The sequence below is a fragment of the Homo sapiens genome, chromosome 1 (assembly GCF_000001405.40).
Source record: "Homo sapiens chromosome 1, GRCh38.p14 Primary Assembly".
Lineage (NCBI taxonomy): Eukaryota > Metazoa > Chordata > Mammalia > Primates > Hominidae > Homo > Homo sapiens.
This window is the reverse complement of record NC_000001.11, coordinates 216379601-216401326: the sequence shown is the minus strand read 5'-3', so window position 1 is coordinate 216401326 and position 21726 is coordinate 216379601. Positions and strand designations below refer to the sequence as shown.

At 36.4% G+C, this 21726-nt stretch overlaps 1 protein-coding gene across 2 annotated transcripts in view, besides 1 other annotated feature; it reads left to right on the top strand.

Annotated features, from left to right (window-relative positions):
- USH2A (usherin) overlaps positions 1-21726 on the top strand; it is an 800558-nt gene that overhangs the window by 22122 nt on the left and 756710 nt on the right. The window lies entirely within an intron of this gene.
- Positions 8082-8183: a silencer, noted in NCBI's record as "fragment chr1:216566486-216566587 (GRCh37/hg19 assembly coordinates)". NCBI's record gives its function as "represses an EF-1alpha promoter that drives an FKBP-Casp9 reporter gene in an ReSE screen in phorbol 12-myristate 13-acetate-treated (for megakaryocytic differentiation) K562 erythroleukemia cells {active_cell/tissue: K562(+PMA)}" and the evidence as "EXISTENCE:reporter gene assay evidence [ECO:0000049][PMID:32094911]".

The following is a 21726-nucleotide window of genomic DNA, read 5'->3' as shown; positions in this document are numbered from 1 at the left end:
ATTCTATCTTGGTGTTTTAACAGCATTTTGGGTATATCTTTTTTGTATAGTGTTTTTAGTGGCTCTAGGTATTAAAGTATATGTAAGTCACTTATCTACTGACATGGACATATTACTACTTCCATTAAAGTGTACTTTTATTTCCACTTAGGTCCTTTACTCATTCTACCTTTTCAGTATAATTGTCTTAAGTGTTTCCCCTACATACAGTGAGCATCACATTACACTGAGTTGTAATTTTTGCTTCAACCGTGAAATATTATCTAGCAAACTAATAAGAGGGAAAGTCTAACTTATTTCCCCCTAATTTTATTCATTCTGATATTCTTATTTTCTTTATAAGTTCTGAAGCTTTTATTATCATTTTGTTTCTATTTAAAGAACTTCCTTTAGTCATCCTTTAAGAATGGGTTTGATGAAAACAAATACTCTTATTTTTCACTCATCTGAGAGTGTCTTGATTTTTCCTTCATTCCGAAAGGATATTTTTGCTGGATATAAAATTTATGATTGACAGTTAATTGCTTTCATTACTTGATAAATGTTGTGCCACTCCTTCTGGCTTCTAATTTTTCAGATGAGAAATCTGTTGTCATTTGAACTGGTATTTACTTATAAGTTTTACATCATTCCTCTGGCTGCTTTCAAGGTTTTCTCTTTGCTTGTTTTGTATTTAGCAGTTTAATAGTGAAAGCCCTAGCATGAGTTTCCTTGGTTTTATCCTATTGTATGAGATTTGCTCAGCTTCTTGCATGTGTTTGTTAATGTCTTTTGCCATATTTTCAGTATTTTCAGACATTCTTTCTTGAATACATTTTCACTGCCATTCTCTCCTCTTATTCTAGGATTCCAGTTATACAAATGTTAACTCTTTTGTTTTTAACTCACTGGTTCTTGAAGCTCTCTTCAAGTTTTTTTTTTTCCTTTTAATCTCTCTTTTCTTATTTGTTCAAATTAGGTAAATTCTTTTGATTTCCTTCAGGTTCAGGAATCCTGTCATCTTCCTGTTACCCTTGAACCCATATAGCAAGTTTGAGTTTGTTTCAATGGTTGTATGTTTCAGTTATTTAGTTTCCGTTTGGATCTTTTATATATATATATATATATATAACTTCTATTTCTATGCTGGGGTTTCTCTCATTTTTTTTCTTGCTTGAAAGAATTCACAATTGCTTGTTGATGCATTTTTATTGTATCTGGTTTAAAATCCTTGCCTGATAATTCCAACATATGATTCATATCACTGATGGCATCTGTTGATCTTCTTCTTTCATTCAAGTTGTTATTTTGATGGTTCTTAGTATGACAAGTGATTTTTATTATATCCTGGATGTTTTGGGTATCGTAGTATGAGACTCTGGATCCAAATTCATCTTCTTTTTTTATTCAGAAGCTGTCCTTACATTGAGGTGTGCACAGAGGCCAGGTGGGTGTGTATGTTCATTCATCACCCCGTTGTCACTGCCAACATCATCCAGCAGAAGTGGAGCACTGACTCACACTGCAGCAGATGGGTAGGGTGAAACTTCAGCTTCCCTGTTGACCCCTTCCCAGTGAAAGCGGGCCGCCTATTGCTGCTGCCTTGTTGCCCCTCATGGTGACATATTCCTAACTCCCCACTGAGCCACGGAAGGGAAAAATTCATTGCTTGTTCACACTACTTTGTTGCTGCAGGGTAGGGGTGGAAGCTGAGCTTCCTGCTGGTCTCTGTGACACCAGGGGAGGTGGGGAATGGAGTGTCAAGTAACCCTCCTCCTATCACCTTATTCTGCCTCATTGATGCCAGGTGTGAGAGAAGGTTCTGCTTCTCTCCAGAACTCTCCCAGTTCTTGTGAACTGGGTCCAATTCACAAGAAAGGGAAAAAGGATGTAGAGTATTGATTGGCCCTAACACCTAGCACACAGTCTCACTAATACCACTGGGAGTAGGGGCTCAGCTCCCCTCTAGGCCCTGCTCACTTAGTGAGGGTGGGGTGGGAACAGAATGGAGACTAACCCTGACACACACCACCTCATGTGGTCTTGTGCTGTGAAGAGAGTGGAGAGGTTCATTCCCTCCTTGGTCCCACTGACACCAGAGGTTGGAGTAAAGTAAAGTGCTGATGAGCCCTGACTCTCGTGTCCTTGTTTAGTCTTGTTAATATTGGGTGGATGTTGAGCTTCAGCTCCTGACTGGGGCCCTGCCAGAGCCGGGGGGAATGTAATGTGCTGACTAGTCCTGCCTTGCACCACTTCACTAAGTCTTGCTGCTACCAGGTAGGGGTGGTGGAGATGGTTTAGCTACTTGCTGGGCTGAGGTGACACTAACTTAGTAAAGAGTTGGAGCATGGCTGACTCCTTTCAGACAGGGGATGAAAGATCAGCCCTCTGCTCACTCTGCCAATACTATTTAGAAAAGAGAATCAGAGTGGCACAACTTCCACTGAGCAGAGGACAGAAAATAAGCTCCTTATTTGGTCTCATCAAAACCACCCCTACCTACAGTTAGACAGCTGCCTGTTTCAACAAGTGGAGAATGGAAGATCAGCTCTCTGTTTGGTTTATTGGAACCACCAGGCAAGGGGAATTGGAACACTGACTGCTTCTGCCAGTGGGAATAGAAGGTTAGCTGCCTCTTGGCCCTGTCAACACCACTGTGAAAGGGAATCAAAAACTACTGCTTACTTCTGTTGGGTGAGAGGGTGGGGTGAAAGATTAGCTCCCTGATGAGCTCGGCTGCTGGAACTATGAATGTGTGTGAGTGTGTGTGGGGAGAGAGTGTGTGTGTGTGTATGGGTGTGCTTGTGTGTGTGTGTTTGGTTTTTCCATTGGAGTTTGGCTAAAGTATGACAGGTACTTTTTGCTAAAAAGGTTTTCTCTTGTAGGCCAACATTTTCCTGATCTTCTGTCTAGGAAAATAAGCCTTTCCTTGGAGCTTATTTTGTCTGTGCCTGTTGGTGGTTCTACGTTAGATGTTTCTGGATATTAAAACAACAACGAAAACTAGGGAATTTGCCATGTTGTTCCTCAAGTCCTCAGATTCCTAATTTTTTTTCTTCTACCTACTTCGCAAAGTCATCTTACACTTATTTGTTTTGTTATGTTCAGGGCTTTTTAATTATAGAAAGAGAACTGGGAGGAATAAGGCTGCTCCATCTCTGTCAGGATCAGAAGTCATGTAGTGTTATAAAAAGGACTTTGTCTACCATTTTAAAATAGCTGTTGGCTGTAAGCTCCTTATTGTATTTAAAGTATATTGGCTAAAATTGTGGGAGGTAAGGAAAACTCTTTGTAAAGTGAACTGACATGGTGAAAAGAGAGAGAAGATATGCTTGTCAAATATTGCGAAGTCTATTCAGATCAAGCTAGACATGGTCTGTATTAGTCAGGGTTCTCCAGAAGAAAAGAACCAATAGGAGGTGCATGTCTGTGTGTGTATGAAAAGGAATGTATTAGGGAGAATTTGCTCACATCATTATAAAGGCAATGTCCCACGACAGGCTGTCAGCAAGCTATAGAATGATAGAAGCCACTAGTATGTCTCCCAAGGAAGGTGATACTATGTCTCAGTCCAAGTCCCAAAGCTTCAAAACCAGGGAAGCTGACAGTGCATCCCATAGTCTAAGGCTGAAAGCCTGAGAACCCCCAGATCCCCCAGAGACCACTGCTGCAAGTTTCAGGGTCCAAAGGCTAAAGAACCTAGAGTCTGATGTCTAAAGGCAGGAGGAAGAAAGGGCATTCTGCACTGGAAGAGAAAGAGAGAGGCAGCTCACAAAGCAAGAAAAGCCTGCAAGCTGAATATCCCCCTTCTTCTGTCTGCTTTACTGTAGACACACCTGCAGCTGATTGGATGGTACCCACCTACATTGAGGGTAGGTCTTTCTCTCAGTCCACTGGCTTATATGTCAATCTCCTCTGGAAACACCGCAATAGATACATCAAGAAACAGTGCTTTACCAGCCATCTAGGTATCCCTCAATCCAGTCAAATTAATATTAACCATCACATGGCCTATTCACAATTTAAAAATGTAGCATAAATTGCAGCAGTGGTCAAGTGTATTGGCAAGTTGTAAAGTGCCTATAAGAAACCTATACACGAGCATTTGCAGATTCCCTTAACACTTTTCAGCAAATATTTTGTTACAATTGAAATTAAAAGGCAGTTTGAAATTGTTCCTCTACTAAATATCACACTGGATATGAATAAAATAACTAGATAGACTAACAAGGTACATACTTTATTGCCTGTGATTATTGCAACTACCACTCCTGGTGGAGAGCCATTCTTCTCAGGTGTGCAAGTGGAAGATTAATTCTCAATCAGGAATATAGATTTGATACAAGGAAAGCATTTCACTTGGCATTAGTGTGTCAACATTTCAGCTAATTTGCCTAACCACAAATACTTCAGGGGGAAGAGAAATTGCTAGTGCTTTATATTAAACATTGGATGGAGCTGGCGGAGATAATACAATTTGTACTTTTTTTACATAGTTTCAACGAATTTTGGCAGATATGTCTTTTTGAGGCAACTTTAGATGTTGAAAAGCTGCTTGTGGATATTCAAGACTTGTCTTTTTTTCATGTTACAATGACCATCACCATAGTTTGTATCTGATTTTTTTTGTGTGAATTGAGGAATGTGGAGTCATAATGCAAAAGTCATTGCCATAATTCTTTGCAGATCTTATGACTGGAAATTCTTGTGTATGTAGTTTGATATTCATTTGTAACACATGTAACTGGTTCGTGTAATGATTAAAATAATAAGTAATGCTTGATCATGGTTAAAATAAATACCAAGGATAAATTCTTCTATTAATTAGTGTAAGCTTATCCTAATTAACATCTTTAATTATGGGCTGTTGTTAATTTTTGTCGCAACCTATTAGATATACTGTCCTAAATCATTAACACTAGTGTAACTGAGCATAAACTCTAGGTGACTCACGGCTACAGTGGAAGCGCCCATGGAAAATATATATTTCTAAGTACACAGTTTAGATAATTTCAAGCAGAATCAGAAAATTCTTGATGAATTCTAAATTTAGTATAAACAGAAATGTATTAGGTTTGGTTATTGAGCCAAGCTTCAAACATTGAATATCAGAATTGTGTCCATTTGCAATGAGTAAGCATTTGATTCAAGATTTTTTTTTGTACTCAGACTCATTTTTGTATATCTTTCTGTTTAAGTCATATTGTATTTACTGCGATTACAGATTTTTTACATATTTCTTAAACTGGTTCTATGTTATGCCATTATATAACAGGTGATAAGGAATGTACTGTCACTGCCCCTTGACAATGAAAAGGGGACATCTCTACTAGTGTATGTGTATGTAGCTGTGGAGGAGTTGAAACAGTGTAAGTGAAATGCCTAGAAATTGTCCTGAGTTTTGATTTTGTTTGTGCTTACATTTTTATTAGTATATGTACTTTCTTGAATAGATAATTGATTTGGGGCAATATTTCTCAATCTTGGCACTACTGACATTTTGGACTGGATAATTATTGGTTGTGCCTGGCTTTCCTGTGCATTGTAGGATGTTCAGAAGAATCTCTGGTCTCTACCCACTAGATGCCAGTAGCAAACCTGCCACCTCTCTGCCTACTTCCGTCCTGTCTTGCAATAGTCAAAAATGTCTGCAGACATTGCCAAGTGTCCCCTAAGGGGCATGAGCCTTGGTGGAGAGAAACTTCTTTACAGTCTCATCCTTGGCGATGTCATTTCCTTATAATTTGCGTAGTTAAACATTTTTGTTTTGAGGAGCATAAGTTGTGATACCATACCTGTACAGAAGAGGCTTGGATTTAAGGTTAACCACATTTAACTGAGAGAATTTTATCAAAGCATGAAATAAGAAAAATAGGGGCAAAAAATGAAATTCTAAAATGGCTTATGCAATTTCTAAGGGTAGCTAATAAGAATTCTGAATTGGTGACATTGTTTTTAAAAAAAGTAAAGCATTAAAAGAATTTCAAAGATAAAATATATTTTTTGGAGTGTGAACACTGTAATTAAGGAGACCCAATAATGTTAAGTTACTTAAAGGATGTATTTTTACTTAAAGTAGGATACAAGTTGGAGAAATTAACATTCGGTTGATTGTTAAATATTTTGATTCAAAGAAAGAACATAGAATTGTCAGCCTCAAAAAATATGCTTAAGATAGAAAAATAATTTTGGTTGCATGAAAAGAAAAAGATTTTAGTAAATTGTTGACTTGAAAAGGGGAACTATTTGACAGAAGTCTCAACAGTGTTTTGGAGTGGCATAGTGATTGGGGGGTGACATCAGATGATTAGAGTTAAAAACGACTGGACCGGCTGGGCGCGGTGGCTCACGCCTGTAATCCCAGCACTTTGGGAGGCCGAGGCGGCTGGATCACAAGGTCAGGAGAGCGAGACCATCCTGGCTAACACGGTGAAAACCCGTCTCTACTAAAAATACAAAAAATTAGCCGGGCGTGGTGGCGGGCGCCTGTAGTCCCAGCTACTTGGGAGGCTGAGGCAGGAGAATGGCGTGAACCCGGGAGGCGGAGCTTGCAGTGAGCGGAGATCGCGCCACTGCACTCCAGCCTGGGCGACAGAGCGAGACTCTGTCTCAAAAAAAAAAAAAAAAGACTGGACCAGTTATTAGGCCTTAAGTTGATGTAAACTATATGACAAATTGACAATTTAGAGACATTGTGGGGACATTTCTATGAAACGTCTGTTTATTATTCATTCCTGTGATGATTTTGAAAGGGCAAATAAAATCATAATCACATATTGTATAATGCTTTTTGTCTTTCAAATACATATACATTAAAAATGACTTATATAAAGCAAAATGTACCTTTTTGTGCACAATTCTATTGGTTTTTGTGGATGTATACTGTTGCATAACCACCATCCAACCAATACACAGAAGAGTTCTATAACTTCAGAATATTCCTTTGTGCTACTCTTTTATAGTCATTCCCATCTTCCCATCCCCACCCTCTATTGACCCGTAAACTGTTTTCTGAATAAATATCTGGGAAAAGGATTGCTGTGCCACATGGTAGGTGTATGTTTAAAGTTTCTCAGAAGTTGACAGACTTTTTCCACGGTGGCTGTACCATTTTGCCTTCTCACCAGCAAAATGTCAGATTACAGTTGTTTTGCATCCTGGCCAGCACTTGGTATGGCCACTTCATTTATTTATTTAGCTCTTCTTCTGATAGGTGTTTAGTGGTATCTCATTATGGTTTTAATTTACACTTCTCTAATGATTGATGATTTTCCCCGGTGACTGATGATGATTGAGGATCTTTTCAGGTGCTTATTTGCCTCCCATGTGTGTATCCTCTTTAGTGAAATGTTTGTTCAAATCTTCCCATTTCAAAAAATGTTGGCCCTTTTCTTATTATGAAATTTCTATGGCTCTTTATGTCTTGTGCATAGAAGTCCTCTGTCAAACAGATGTCTGTTTTGCAAATATTTTCCTGATTTGTAGCTTGTCTTCTCAATATTTTAACAGTGTCATTTATAGATCAGAAGTTTCCAATTCTTCAGGTCTGGCTCCCCTCCATAATCTGTTTGCTTTGATTCACTTTTCAGCATCCTCATGTAGTTGCTTTTTGTGTTTGGTCTGAGATTTTACTTGTGATTGGCAGGGAGAGATAGGCTGAACGTGACTGAGTGGAGTATAGCATGAGAAGACTTGCATAATATTTTTTTTAATTTTCAGTGTTTTGCAAACATTATTTTTGATCCATTAATAATGTTAATGATTGCCATTTTATATACGAGAAAATAAAAAAATCAAGAGTCATAAGAGTTTAAGTTCATAAATAATAAAAAGCCACATGGAAATAACCAGTGATCTAAATCACCTGGAACAACTAAAACCTTAAGGTATTATATCCTAGTTTGTGTGTTCCGACCACAAGCCCCTAGAATGCAAATTACTTATGTACCTTATTTAATTATGTTTGCTTTACGTAATTTTAGTACTTTAGGAACTTCCTTGATTAAATTTCAATTCATACATTTGCTGAAAAATAACTAATTTTAAAACTAAGTAAGGTTATTAAGTAACTTTTTTCCATCTGGAGGAGAATTGTTTTTGTTCCAGATTCTTTACTGACACAATAGTAGCACACTCGAATAAGTGCATAGTATGCTTCATGGAAGATCATGTGTAAAAGCCAGGCTTAGTCAATGTTTCTTCTGATAATACATGTGAAAAGTTGAAAAGAACCTTTATGGTCATTTTCCTAGTAAGCAAGTCAATTCCTTTTGCTTAAAGCATTTTAACTTCATTAATGTAAAAGACAATAGATATCTACTATGTATACAACACTTTTTAAGAGATCTTGAGGTTACAGAAGATAGTAAAGCCATGGTGTCTATCCTTAAGAAGCTATACATAATAAGAAAGAAAGAAATCTCACTGTGATATTGAGTATACATTTTTGGAAAGTAATTTTTGAATAAAATCAGATGTTTTAAAAAATCGTAAAAGGTTTTGAATCAACATTTTCAAATATTTAGAAAATAAATGAGAAAAAAGACAGACCCAACCAATTCCTTCCAGTAATTTTGCTCTGATATTAATGTAATTCCCTTCAGCTTTTATGTGCATATTATATATGTTATTAACCATAGTACATCTTTAAAACATATATAATTTTGTCTGCTCACTTTTTTTTAAAAAAACAGCATTGTATCACAGTTTATTTTCATGTACCTTCATAGTTCAAGGTACAAGGGAAGTAACAGAGATTCCCTGAGAGAAGACAATGGATGTTCCTAAGAAAGACCTAGTGTGAGAGTTCAGGGAACTGCTACACTTTGGATTTTTTTTTTTTTTTTTTTTTTTTTTGAGACGGAGTCTTGCTCTGTCATCCAGGCTGGAGTGCAGTGGCACGATCTCAGCTCACTGCAAGCTCTGCCTCTTGGGGTCATGCCATTCTCCTGCCTCAGCCTCCCGGGACTACAGGCGCCTGCCACCATGCCCGGCTAATTTGTTTTGTATTTTTAGTAGAGACAGGGTTTCACCGTGTTAGTCAGGATGGTCGGGATTTCCTGACCTTGTGATCCACCTGCCTCAGCTTCCCAAAGTGCTGGGATTACAGGTGTGAGCCACCACACCTGGCCAGGATTGGTTTTTTAAAATAATGTAGAATGTTTTGTATTTGTCCTTGCATCATGTAAAGATTTATCCTTAAAAGTGCAATTTGTCTTTGGACTATAAACTCTGCGAGGGACAGGACAGTACTTACATAGCATGTTAAAAATTCAAGTATCAATCTACCCATTTAGGTCTATTGGCTCTTTACTGAGTCCAGGGTTTTATTTACATGTATCACTGAATGAATGGCCTTAAGAAGGTACAGATGAGACTACTGAGGCATAGAGAGATTTAACAGAGGCAAGCAGAGCATCACAAGCAGTTTGGAACTCAACACATGTTTCTTGTTTGAAAATATGCACAGACAAAAGAGGGATGGATAGAAAGTTGGTTCAATATAGGATTAAGACCTGGAACAAAAGCACATGGGCACCAGCAGAATCTACTTGAGAGGTCACAGCGCCCAAGGGGAAACAACCCTAGGCAAGTCACTTAACCTCACTCACCTTAGTTCTCTTGTTGGTAAAATGCAGAGTTTATGCAAACTCAATACATGTCAAGAAATATCTGCAAGGCATTGTTTAAAATTGACCCTCTGGATTTTTTTCATGCATGCCTGGTTATTATTTATTAAGATGTACTAGGGGCAAGTCTCAAATGGAAGAAAAAATAAAAGGCACATCTGCAAAGTGAAGAAGTGGGGTTAAGCGCAATGCAACAGAAACTCTTATACTAATCCAGGAGGACTTTACCTGTCAATCAAATCTATATTCATTTTTTTTAAAGATTAATAATGGTTTGTTAACTGAGTAAGCTGGCAGATGGTAAAGTAATGTGATGAGATCTTGGGGCATCTATGACCAGTTGATGACTGACTGACCAATTTCAAAAGATGCTATGAAGGATCATAAAGTTTAGTTCCATGTGGATTTTGATGATAGTTGCATCTATATTTAAAGCCTTCTGTCACTGGAAGCACTCTTGGTGTTGTCAGACTGTCTATTGGACTGGATGAGCTGCAACTTCTCGCAATTGAATGTCAATAAGACCAAAGCAATTTTGGTTGATTCATAGCACCAGCTTAAGCATATTCACTTGCACAGATTACATTTGACAGATAGTTACCTTCAGCTGAACTCTGTGGTTAGAGGCTTGGGCGTATTCTTGACAGTGAGCTTAGAGTTGATGTCTAATGTTTATTTCATATCCTGTTTTTACCTTCCCTAATATTGCATGTGTAAATCTATATTTAAATATATTCACAGCTGATGTTCTTGTCGGTCCACTTGTTATCTCTGGACAGAATGCTGTAATGATTCAATTTAATTATTTTAATAAAAATAACTTGCACCCCTCCAGTTTTAATTTCAATAAATCTGACGAGTAATGATTAATTTTAAGGAGTCTTATTGATGAGCAATTGCAACACTATAATGCAGGAAAATGCCCAAGTGGTGGGAGCATGCTTACATCTATAGTAAACTTAAAACCTTCAAAATTTGGTGTGTGATTATGAACACCGAGGAAATATATCCACATTTATTTACCAAATTATTATTCCTGTATCTTTTTTAAGTTATTTAGGTCCATCAGTTATCTTCAAAGTTTAGGTTTGAAACTATCCATTTCAAGAATATTAGCCTTTTAAGATGATTATAATTTAAATAACATATTCTAAAATGTTTTAATTGAACAGTAGAATGCATGTAACCCAAAACATTATAAAATTTAAAAAGTCACGGCCATTTTTGAATATTTAGATTGGGAAAACACTTAAGATGTGGTTTTATGTTCAAGAAGAGGTGCAATTATGGTATGGATTCATTCATCATTATGGTATTGTATTGTCAACTTTTCAGTTATGTTCAATTTTTAAGATGCTGGGTGGGAAATTTAAGGGACATATAGATCTAATAATCTGAGCCTAAATCTCCTGCTCTATACAAATAACTCTGCAAAGCTTTGGAATCCCTTTATTTGACTAGGTGAATGGCAGTTTTGTTTGCATCAGCCTAAACCTAGCTTGGAAATCATGATTTTAAAGCAAACACGTTTTCCTCACACATTTCCATATTTCCTAGAATCTATGGTTTTAAGATATCAAACAATTCAAATTATGTAGTTATACATTTCACACAGGACAAAAACTCATGCTGAAGTAGGTAAAATATTTTTCAAAATTATTTTCTCTACATTTACTGGCATACTTTCTCTTTCTTACTGTCTTTTAAAACTGACAGTCAGTTTTTTTTATTTTTCTCTTTTACTGACAGCTAGTAAATGTACTGACAGTTCAGAAGCAAGATGTAAATGTAAGTCACTATTATTTTGTTCACCTGATACCTGAGCATTAGTAGAAATGCATGGCTATATTTTAAAATAAAAACTAGATTATTTCCAATGGTTCTGAAGGGAAGATGTATAGAAAAACTGTCCTCTGTAAATAAAAATGTGTTTGAGGCAAGATTGCATTACATTTAGAAATAGCATACTTTCCTCATTAGGATGTGATTGGTATTTGTACTGAAGAAAATGGGCTAATTATTTAAGTAAGATGTATATTTACTTTCTGTTTCATTAGCTGTAAATCTTTATAGCATATAAATCTCCTTTAGAAATTAATGGGAAGTATATAAGTGAGGGAAAGAAAGCAGGTTATGAAGTTAATAAATACCATGTTAAAAATTAGTTTCTACTTAAATATAAAGTTCAAGATTAAAAATTAAAAATTGTTTTATTTTAATTAGAAAAATCTTGCTTAGTTAATTTCTCTGGAAGAAATGCTATATAAGCAGTTAAATGTGGAGAATTATATTCTATTGATAAAAGTATGTTGGGCCAGACTGAACCAACAACATCATAGAAGGACTGATTCCTTACTTCCTTTAAAAAGTGATCTGTCATTTGTCTACATTATAAATAACAGCTGAGTTTTAAAACACAAGGAGATTTTTAAAAAGTGGCAGCATTTATTTATTTACTGCTTAGACAGTATTCACAGTATTTTATTTCATCCTTAAGACTCTTTTTTTGTTTTGCTCCCACATTATTGTTACACATATGGGAATTGGTAAAGTGGGAAAACTTAGCATTTATAGATTTTTATACTGAAGCATGCGATGATAAAGTAGTCACTTTCATCCAAGAACCTTTTCCTCTTTTCACTTACACTAGCTCTTCCAGAAATGGCCCCTTTAGTGCCTTTAATGGTTTTATTCTCCTTCTGTCACTATTTTTAATATTCTTATTCTTATACTGCCATCATATATAACTTTGTGAAAATTTGTCATATAAGGTTAAAATTGATTTGCCTTTAAATACAGTAGTTTCCATTTTCTGTTAACTGTTTGAAGAACACCTATTGAGAGGCAAGGAAAGACCTGCGGGATAAGTTACAAAAGGCAAGAATTCCTCACAGAAAAAGCAGCAGGAGCTTCCTTGTCAAGAGCTTCAGCAAGTAGTGTCAGCAGCTTAGAAGTTGCTATTGGACTGCTGAGTGTTATGCAGATAAATTGTGGCTCTAGCTTGTCCTCCGATGTCATTCTTTGATTTTTCTCTGTTAACACTGCATTTGCATTTGGGTCTCACTGAGAACAAGGACCAGTGCAAATGCCTTATGGCATGTGTAGAAAGCTGCTTTTATGTTAAAAGTGATATGTTTTCTTGTTCACTGTGTTCACAACAAAAATTCATCTTCCGAGTCTTGGAATTCCCTTATGTATTTGTAATTTTCCTTCCAAGTCATAATATTCATATACAAAGAGTGGAAATTTTTCTTTAAAAAAACCTACCAAACAACAAAAACAGTAAAGTTAGTTGGTTACTAGCAGCAACAACTGAAAAGCAGCATCACCAAAACATATGCAATTCATGGGTTTCCAGCAAAAGAGGAAATCTGGAAAGAGAAGATCCTTAAGTATTGCTTTAAAGTGAGCACTGAAGGACAGCCGTTAAAACAATCCCAATTTTTAGAAAAGGTATTATTCCCTGACATTTACTTGTTTTATTCCCTTCTCAATCTGAAGACACATTTTGGACAGATGCTCTTGTCTTACATGAACATTCAATTCATTTGAGAAAATAATGGTTATACTTAAACTCGTGAAGTGAAATGTATGGAAGTCTGTTGCTTTATAACTTTAAATAGCCATGTAACTTGTTCATGGCAGAATATAGTCAAGTCCTGGGCAAGGACTTTTTTTCTCTTCTCCAATAATGCTATTCAAGGGGAAGCTAGTTATTGTGTGACACATGCTTGATTCTCAGGAGGTTTGGACAAAAGAGAGGGTTAGAAGGTCAGGAGAGCCTGACGCTATTCAACTAGATATTTGAGTAGAATTCCCACACCAGAATTTTGCCTCATACCTAATTCAGACAGTGTAATAATGGGGGAAGGGCAGAGAGAGGGAGGGCAGATGGAGGTGTCCTTTCAGGTTAAATGTTAAAATAAGGGTCTTCATTTCTGTCTCTGGTGGCACAGAGCATTAAAAACCCTGTGACACATTTTGGAAGTGTTGCTATAAAATAGATTTTAACGTTTGAGGATCTATAAAGGGTATTATTGAGTACTTAATAGATTCTGTGTTTGCCTACTGAAATCACTACACCGCCGATATATACCTCATTAATTTGTAAAGCAGTTTGGCCCAACTTGAGACAATGTACTGTATTAAAGCAAAGTCTATATCCCAAATTTTCATGGCTAATAATTACAAAACGTTCAGCATCTGAAGAAAATTATCTAAATGTGACAATATTGGTCTTGGATAGTTTAACTTGCGTGAAATATTTCACACAGAAACATTTGATCTATATTGAAGAGTTGTTTCTTTTTTCATCAGATCAGCTATATCACAGTAAATTGTGGAAATAGAAAATGGAAACTAAATTGTTGAAAATGCATCTGATAGTTTGTTTTTATTGCCAAAATGTCATTGTCCTTGAGGTCCATCACTTTGTAGCTTAGTAAAAACAGATTTAGGCATTGCAAGTGAGAAGTCATTGACTGTTTTCCTTGTAACCAATTTATTTATCAAGTTGGTAAGTTTCAGAAGTATTTCCAGTGTTCAGCCTATTTCTTCACTTTTCTATTTTCCAAATTATATCCTATTACTTCAAAGATGTATAAAGTTCACACATTCTGGATTCTTTATCTCTTTTATTGTTTTCTGCTTCATACAAAGTAATTAAATTATGTTCTTGAAGTAATTCCTCCTATCTTACTTAAAATCACCTTCATGATCTGTCAAGAGTTTTCAAGTTGTTCTGTGATAAAGTTCTTAGAGTTTGAGAAGCTAAATGGTGGAGTTGGTGCTTAAGCTCTTCACTGAAAGCTGCAAGAGTATAAACGAAGTCAGAAATTACTATTATTATTATTTTTTTCTCATTGAGACGGAGTCTCACTCTGTCGCCCAGGCTGGATTGCAGTGGCGTGATCTCAGCTCACGGCAAGCTCCGCCTCCCGGGTTCGCTCCATTATCCTGCCTCAGCCTCCCGAGTGGCTGGGACTACAGGTGCCCGTCACCACGCCAGGCTAATTTTTTGTATTTTTAGTAGAGACGGGGTTTCACTGTGTTAGCCAGGATGGTCTCGATCTCCTGACCTTGTGATCTGCCTACCTCAGCCTCCCAAAGTCCCAAAGTGCTGAGATTACAGGCATGAGACACCACACCCAGCATATATATATATATATATATATATAGTTTTTTGGTTTTTGTTTTTTGTTTGTTTGTTTGTTTGTTTGTTTGTTTGTTTTTTTGAGACGAGTCTCGCTCTGTCGCCCAGGCTGGAGTGCAGTGGCAGGATCTCGGCTCACTGCAAGCTCTGCCTCCCGGGTTCATGCCTCAGCCTCCCGAGTAGCTTGGACTACAGGCGCCCGCCACCACGACCAGCAAATTTTTTGTATTTTTAGTAGAGATGGGGTTTCACCGTGTTAGCCAGGATGGTCTCAATCTCCTGACCTTGTGATCCGCCTGCCTTAGCCTCCCAAAGTGCTGGGATTACAGGCATGAGCCACTGCACCCGGCCTGAAATGACTATTCTTTTTAATAACTTCTATTTATTGTTTTGTGTTATTCATAATTGTTGTGCAATTTAATTTATTTCACTAGTAGAACACTATGTACAGGACTGTACTGTGTGGAGGTTTTAGAAGTGACAAAACCAGTTAACTAGGCTCTTGGTCCAAAGGAATTTAGTGAAAGAGATAAGACATAAACACTAATGACTGTAACATTTATGGAATAATAAATAGGAGCTGCTGAAAGTTGTGATTTCTTCTCATTATGATAGTGCTTCTTGGATTATAAAAAATTTAACCTAGAACATGAGGTTTCAAGAGGCAGAGATGGGGAGAGAAGAATTCCAGGTTTGGGACTAGGATGTAGAAAGGCAGAAAGGTGAAAATATTCTTGTGATGATGGCAAACAGTGACTGGTCAAGTTTGCCAAGAGTAGGTTTTATGCAAGAGCGTAGTAAGATGAAACCCTGAAGGAATTTTACTGTCAGATGATAGAAACCGGAATAAAGCTGAGGATACAGTTCAATAATCAAAGGGAACCAAATGAAAGTTTTGAGCAAAGAAGGGATCTTATTAAAACAGCCTTTTATTATTTCTTTTAAGCTAGAGGTAGCTTGGCATTATCTGTGCCAGCTCAGAGTGACCTTCACCCCAAAATTCTAGTTGGATTATGGAGCAGTTAATCTTACAGGCTCTAATAATTCTGTCACCCTTTGTTGTCATTCTATATCTGTGTCCCTTCAGTTATGTGTCTTCTCCCATATTCTCATACCATTATTTCTCTGTCTTTCATTTCTTTACTTTCATCATCCACATCAGGACAATGTTTTTATTCTATAGTAGTTTGTAAACATGTCACATTCTTTAGACTTTCAAGCTCTTTGTCAACAGTTTTTCAAAGTCCTTGCCTTACATAAACACTAATTCTTTCCCTTTAGGGACCCCTTTCCTGGCCCTTCCAAGCAAAGGGTGCTCATTCATCCACTCCTCATGCACCTCATTGCTGGGAGCAAGTAGAGATGTAGGGATTGCTTTCTTCTTTTTCTTTTACCTCATATTGGAAAGAGATGTTTCCTTTAAAGCTCATGTTAAGTTGTTGTGTACCTTTCTTCAATTTTTGCATCAATTTTTGCAAACCTTGCATCAATTTTTGCAGCTGCTGACACCTTGGATACCCCAGCCACCTGCCTGCCAGATACAATGAAAAATTTCACCTCTGACTCACAGTGTTTCTCTGCATCATTATCAGCTTTTGGTTAATGACCATGAAGCTTCACTTTTTCACCTCTTGAAAACTTTTGGCTACAGAATGAAGTTAAGCGCCTAGGTGCTTATATTGTCTTTGAGTCTGTTGGGTTCCTTCTAGGTTCAGTTTCTTCACTTCTAGCCTAGCCCACAAGGAAAATATCTTTAGTAGTCTTTTAACCATTTTCTTTTATTTCATTTTTTTTCATTCTGTTGCCACCAGACACCTATTCTCAAATCATTCACCTGACTGCCTTCTTAATTCCTGTGTATAGATTGCAGAATATTACTGAAAAAAAACAGGTGTGTGGATTGAGGCCACTAAAAATTAATGATTTCCAACTAGAGATGGACCCTTAGTGCAGCCTTAGGGTAAATTTCAGAGGTGCAGCTGATTCAAAGGGTGTGCACAATTTCAGGGGTATATTGACCTACTGTCTTCAGAAAATGTTTGACTAGTGCAGACTCCTACCGAAAGAGAATCAGAGTGCCTATTCCTCAAATTATTGTTAATATAAGGAATTATCTTTTCTCATTTTTTTCTAATTTTATGGGCAAAATAGTATGAGTGTATTCTTATTTCATTTAGCATTTCTTCCCCTACCTCGTACTTATCTTACCTTACATAGGCTTATTAGCCAGCCACATGTATTTTTTGCTTCTGGGTAATAGCTGTGTATTGTTCTCTTATTTTTTTAAATAAAGGGGTCTGCATTTTTATTAATGACTAAGAAATCTTGATATATTTAGAAATTATATGTAAAAATAATTTTAAATTTTTTTTATTCTACTTTAAGTTCTGGGGTACACATGCAGAACTTGCAGGTTTATGTCATAGTTATAAAAAAAGAAAGAAAGCATAGGCAGAGAAGGAAAATCACTCTGGACAGAAAAAAATAATTGGTTAAAATATTAAAGAATAAAATTTGTAGGTAAAAATAATAAATTTTAAAATGACAGTTTAAAAATTTATATGTAGGCTGGGTGTGGTGCCCCATGCCGATAGTCCCAGCACTTTGGGAGGCCTACGCAGGAGGATCACTTGAGTCCAGGATTTCAAGGCCAGGTTGGGCAACATAGCAAGACGTCATCTCTACAAAAAAAAAAAAAAAGAAAGAAAGAAAGAAAGAAAAAAAATTAGCCAGGCATGGTGGTGCATGCCTGTAGTCCCAGCTACTCAGAAGGCTAAGATGGGAAGATCTTCTGAGCCTGGGAGGTCAAGGCTGTGAGCCATGGTCGTGCCACTGCACTCCAGCCTAGGCAACAGAGCCAGATCCTCTCGCAAAACAAACAAACAAACAAATTACATGTGAAAAGAATTATACGTGAAGATAATAATTTCAGACATACAATCCTATGTTAACTCCCATAGAAAATTAAGGGAGTTATCACACCTTTGCTTTTAACAATTCTTTCTCTTCCCACATTCCAGTTTTGTTGAAATAAGCAGAGCTTCTTATCCCAGCTTATTGTAGCAAAATCATTATAGTAAAATGATATTTTTATTTCAAGCATTACAATAGCACTTTATAACTTATTTAAAAATTTATATGATGTTAAAAGGATTCAATACTCATTGAGTATCCTTTCATAACATACATCTCTAATTTCTTAATTTGAATTGAGCTTTCTATTTGGTGAGAGTATTTCTATTCTGAAAAGGAACATGGCCAGTGATGTACCTTCTGAATCTTTGCGTAGTTGAGCCTGTCTTTCTAATGCCTGTACCCATGAACAATGTCTGGATGATGATGGATTTTTTTTTCTTATACCCTTTCGTTTGTGAGCTTTTAATACATTGCATCGTGTTTCTGAAGAGAAATCTGAGACAAGCTTAAGGATTATTTTTCACTGTGGGTGACCCGTTTTTGTGTGCCTGAGTGAGATTCTTACAGGTTTCTTTCTTTATCCTTAAAATCCCAGGACTACCAGCCTATAGTTTGGTGTTAATTAATCTTTGTTTTCTTGAGAATATGGTAAGCTTTTCTTAGCTGAATATTCAGGTCATATTTTTAATCCCTTAATTTTGGTTTCTATCATGTCTTTGAGTTTATATTTTCATTATTTGTTTTCTTCGGGCTTTCATCCTGTGAAATTTAGTGACCAATATAGTTTTATTCCTTTTATGTCCAAGATACATAAGAAGTTGTATGTACTCTAGTGTCCATTCGTTCATCAACTTATTCCAATTACCCCAAACCCCTATTTCCAAGGGCTTTTCTTCTTCCGTTCAGACTCTTTATTTGGGTCTTTTCGTGGTTCCTTGCTTAACACTATGCACTTTTCACGGCACACACTTTCCCTGGGAATTCTTACTCACAACCATGACTCCTAGTACTATTTTCATATGCATAGTTATAAAACCTGTAATTTCTAAATTTATATTGCCACAGTGCTATCAGTGAGCTTTCAAAATTCAAATTCAAGTATGATTTTTCTTAGTTTTAAGATTTCTTCAGTTGGAATGGAGACCCTTAATGACTTAGCTCTGACAACTGTTCAGCCTCATGTTCTGTAAGGTCTCCTCTGGGACCTCACATTCTAGTAACACTGAGCTGTCTAGTCTTTAATTGTATCCATCTTTCTTATGTTGCTACAACTGCACATGTTCTTTACCAAGAATACTCTCCCTTACTATTTATTCCGCTTAATCCTACTTTTTCCTTTCACTCATTTGGCATCAACATTTTCAGGAAGCCTTTTCTTATCTCAAAATCTGAGTAGACATGCACTCATCCTTTCTATGAAATTATCGCAATTTACTCAATGTGCTTTATTTGTGTCCATCACTAGACTCCAGAACTTTTAGATCAAGAATTTTACCTTATTTAGTGTTGTTCCCTTCAGGGCTCGGCATCATGTTTGAATGTGATCCATTCTCAATAAACAAAGTTTGATTGAATGAGTGATGGCATCATCCAGTATTAGAACAAAGTTGATAGGACAGTTTGTTTAGAAGCTCTTGCAAGAATACAGTTGACCCATGAACTACAAGGAATTGAATTGCCCAGGTCTGCTTTTATGTGAATTTTTTCGAGCTAAACACAGATTGAAAATACAGTACTTGCAGGATGTAAAATCCGACTATGCACAGGGCCGACTTTTTGTATCCCTGGGCTCCGCAAGGCTAACTGCGAGACTTGGGTATGATTAGATTTTGGTTATTTATGCCTGGATCCTGGAACCAATCCCTTGAAGACTGTACAGATGAGAGATATTAGTTGATCGAATATGTAGCAGGAGAAAACTGAAAAAGGAAAAGAAATTTATGAAGTAAATTAATGAGACCGCTGCATTTCATTACTACTTTGGAGATTAGAGGAACAATAAAGGTGACTTTAAAATTTTGAACCAACTTCTTTATAACATGGCTTACAAGTGGTAGCTAGAAAGAGGAGGGTTGGTTACTTTTGCTTTGTATATTGCAATACATTTCTGATTGTTCCCTTTCCACTTTTCCCCCTAGTATTGTTGATTACTTTGTCTTTGTAAAAAACTTCATCGTGAAAATTTCTTTCTAAAATGTAAATGTGATTACCTCCTTCCTCTCCTTAAATAAACACTATGCTCACGATTGCTCACACTCCAGAGAATGAAATTTCCTTCCCTTAGCAACATGTTCAAGATCCTTCAAAATTTGTTAGATGGTGCCTCTATAGCTTCATTGTCCTTCTATGTACTTTGAGTTTTAACCATGATATTTTTTTGCCTCCCAAAATCATGTACTTTGTGGTTTTCATGCAAGCTCTTCCTGTTTGCCTTATTCAGTTGCTTCTAGCTTGTACACTTTTCCCTCTCCCTCTTCAACTCCATTTCTTTGTGTACGTATCTCAATGACCACCACAAATACAACTTCCTCTGTAAAACACACTAATTTCTTCTCTCCTTTTCTCCTCTCTGCTCCTATAGCACTTTTTTTTCTTATTGGCTGTATGACATTTATTACATAGGCATATTTTATTAGATATTAAGTAGGTTTTGCATTAGGTATATTTTTGAATGTACTGAAAGGCAGATACTTTATTCATTCATATGTGCTCAGAAGAGCAAAATATCTCTTACATAATGTATGTTTAATATAAGTAAATATACAAACAAATAGAAATATTGAGTTTGGTAAAAGATGATATTGAGAAAAAGTGATATGTGATAGAATGAAAAGCTACATATATTTTCTAAATGATGGGTGGACATTTACAACTTTGCTAAATTATATATTAAATCATCTCTTTATCCTGAAAAAATTATCTTTTCCATGATTAGTAAGTACTTTACAGTCTCTTCTAGGTTATAAAGCTCAGTACTCTAATTAGTTTTAGAAAAACTGTGACTAAACTAGCAGTACTGTTTTTTCTCCCATATTTTGTCTCACACTGAAGTCAGTGATATTTTTTTCTGTTCACAGATATATTCACTCTTAGCCTTCCCTGAGCTCTATTACAGCCTGGAAAATAACTGGAATTTCCTTTAAAATAATACACATTTTCTTAACTTATCATATTAAATGAAAAACACACAAACACTGGCCTCCTTTCACATTCCCTAGAACTTTTTGTTTTTTCTGTATTTGGCATTTCTGATGTCTTTAATTTTTTGTGATTCTGGCTCTGTATTCTGGTGCCTGGAACAGTGTTGCTTCCAAATAAATAGGCAGTAGTGATAGCAATACTCATAAATATTTTAAGCTATTTGGAAAAAGATATTTTTTAGAAGCTGTGTTTTGAATGACCTTCCCATTTAACTACAGTGAATTTCATTCTTAGTTCCTTCCCAATATCTACCCTCTTGCATCTTCTTTTATGTTGTTTCTAACGTCTTTTGCGGTACCTATCAATTTACTGTCATCTACTGTTTTCATTAAGATTGCTACTTGTAGATCATTAATAAAAAGGTGAAATAAAACTAAATTCCTTATCAATTCTCTCCTTAAGTCAATAAGTATCCAGTTTTAAATGACAGTGCTTGAATTCAAGTTCATATTAAATGTTACTTCAAATAAGTTTGGGAGTTTACACATACATGGCTCTTTGGTTCAATTACATTTGTCTTATTTATTTTGTTTTCTGTTCCCTTGTAGTATTCTTTGATAAACTTGTCCTTTAAAATATATATTCCAACTAAACTCTGCTTAGGGCCTAAGTGGTGTAGCCCTCTGGGGAGGGTCGCAAATGTAATTTGTTTGATTGGATACTCAAGCTTTTCAATTGTTTTCTTTTCCTTAGAGAAATAGAACCTTTCTAGCTTTCAGGTCAATTGATGTAATGGTTGGATTCAGATGGAATGACACTTTCTCCCCATTGTAAGTCTCTAGTTCCTCAGAGAAATCCTTGGGAAATCTGTTGACAACTTGCTGTCATCCAGCTGTTCTGATGGTATAA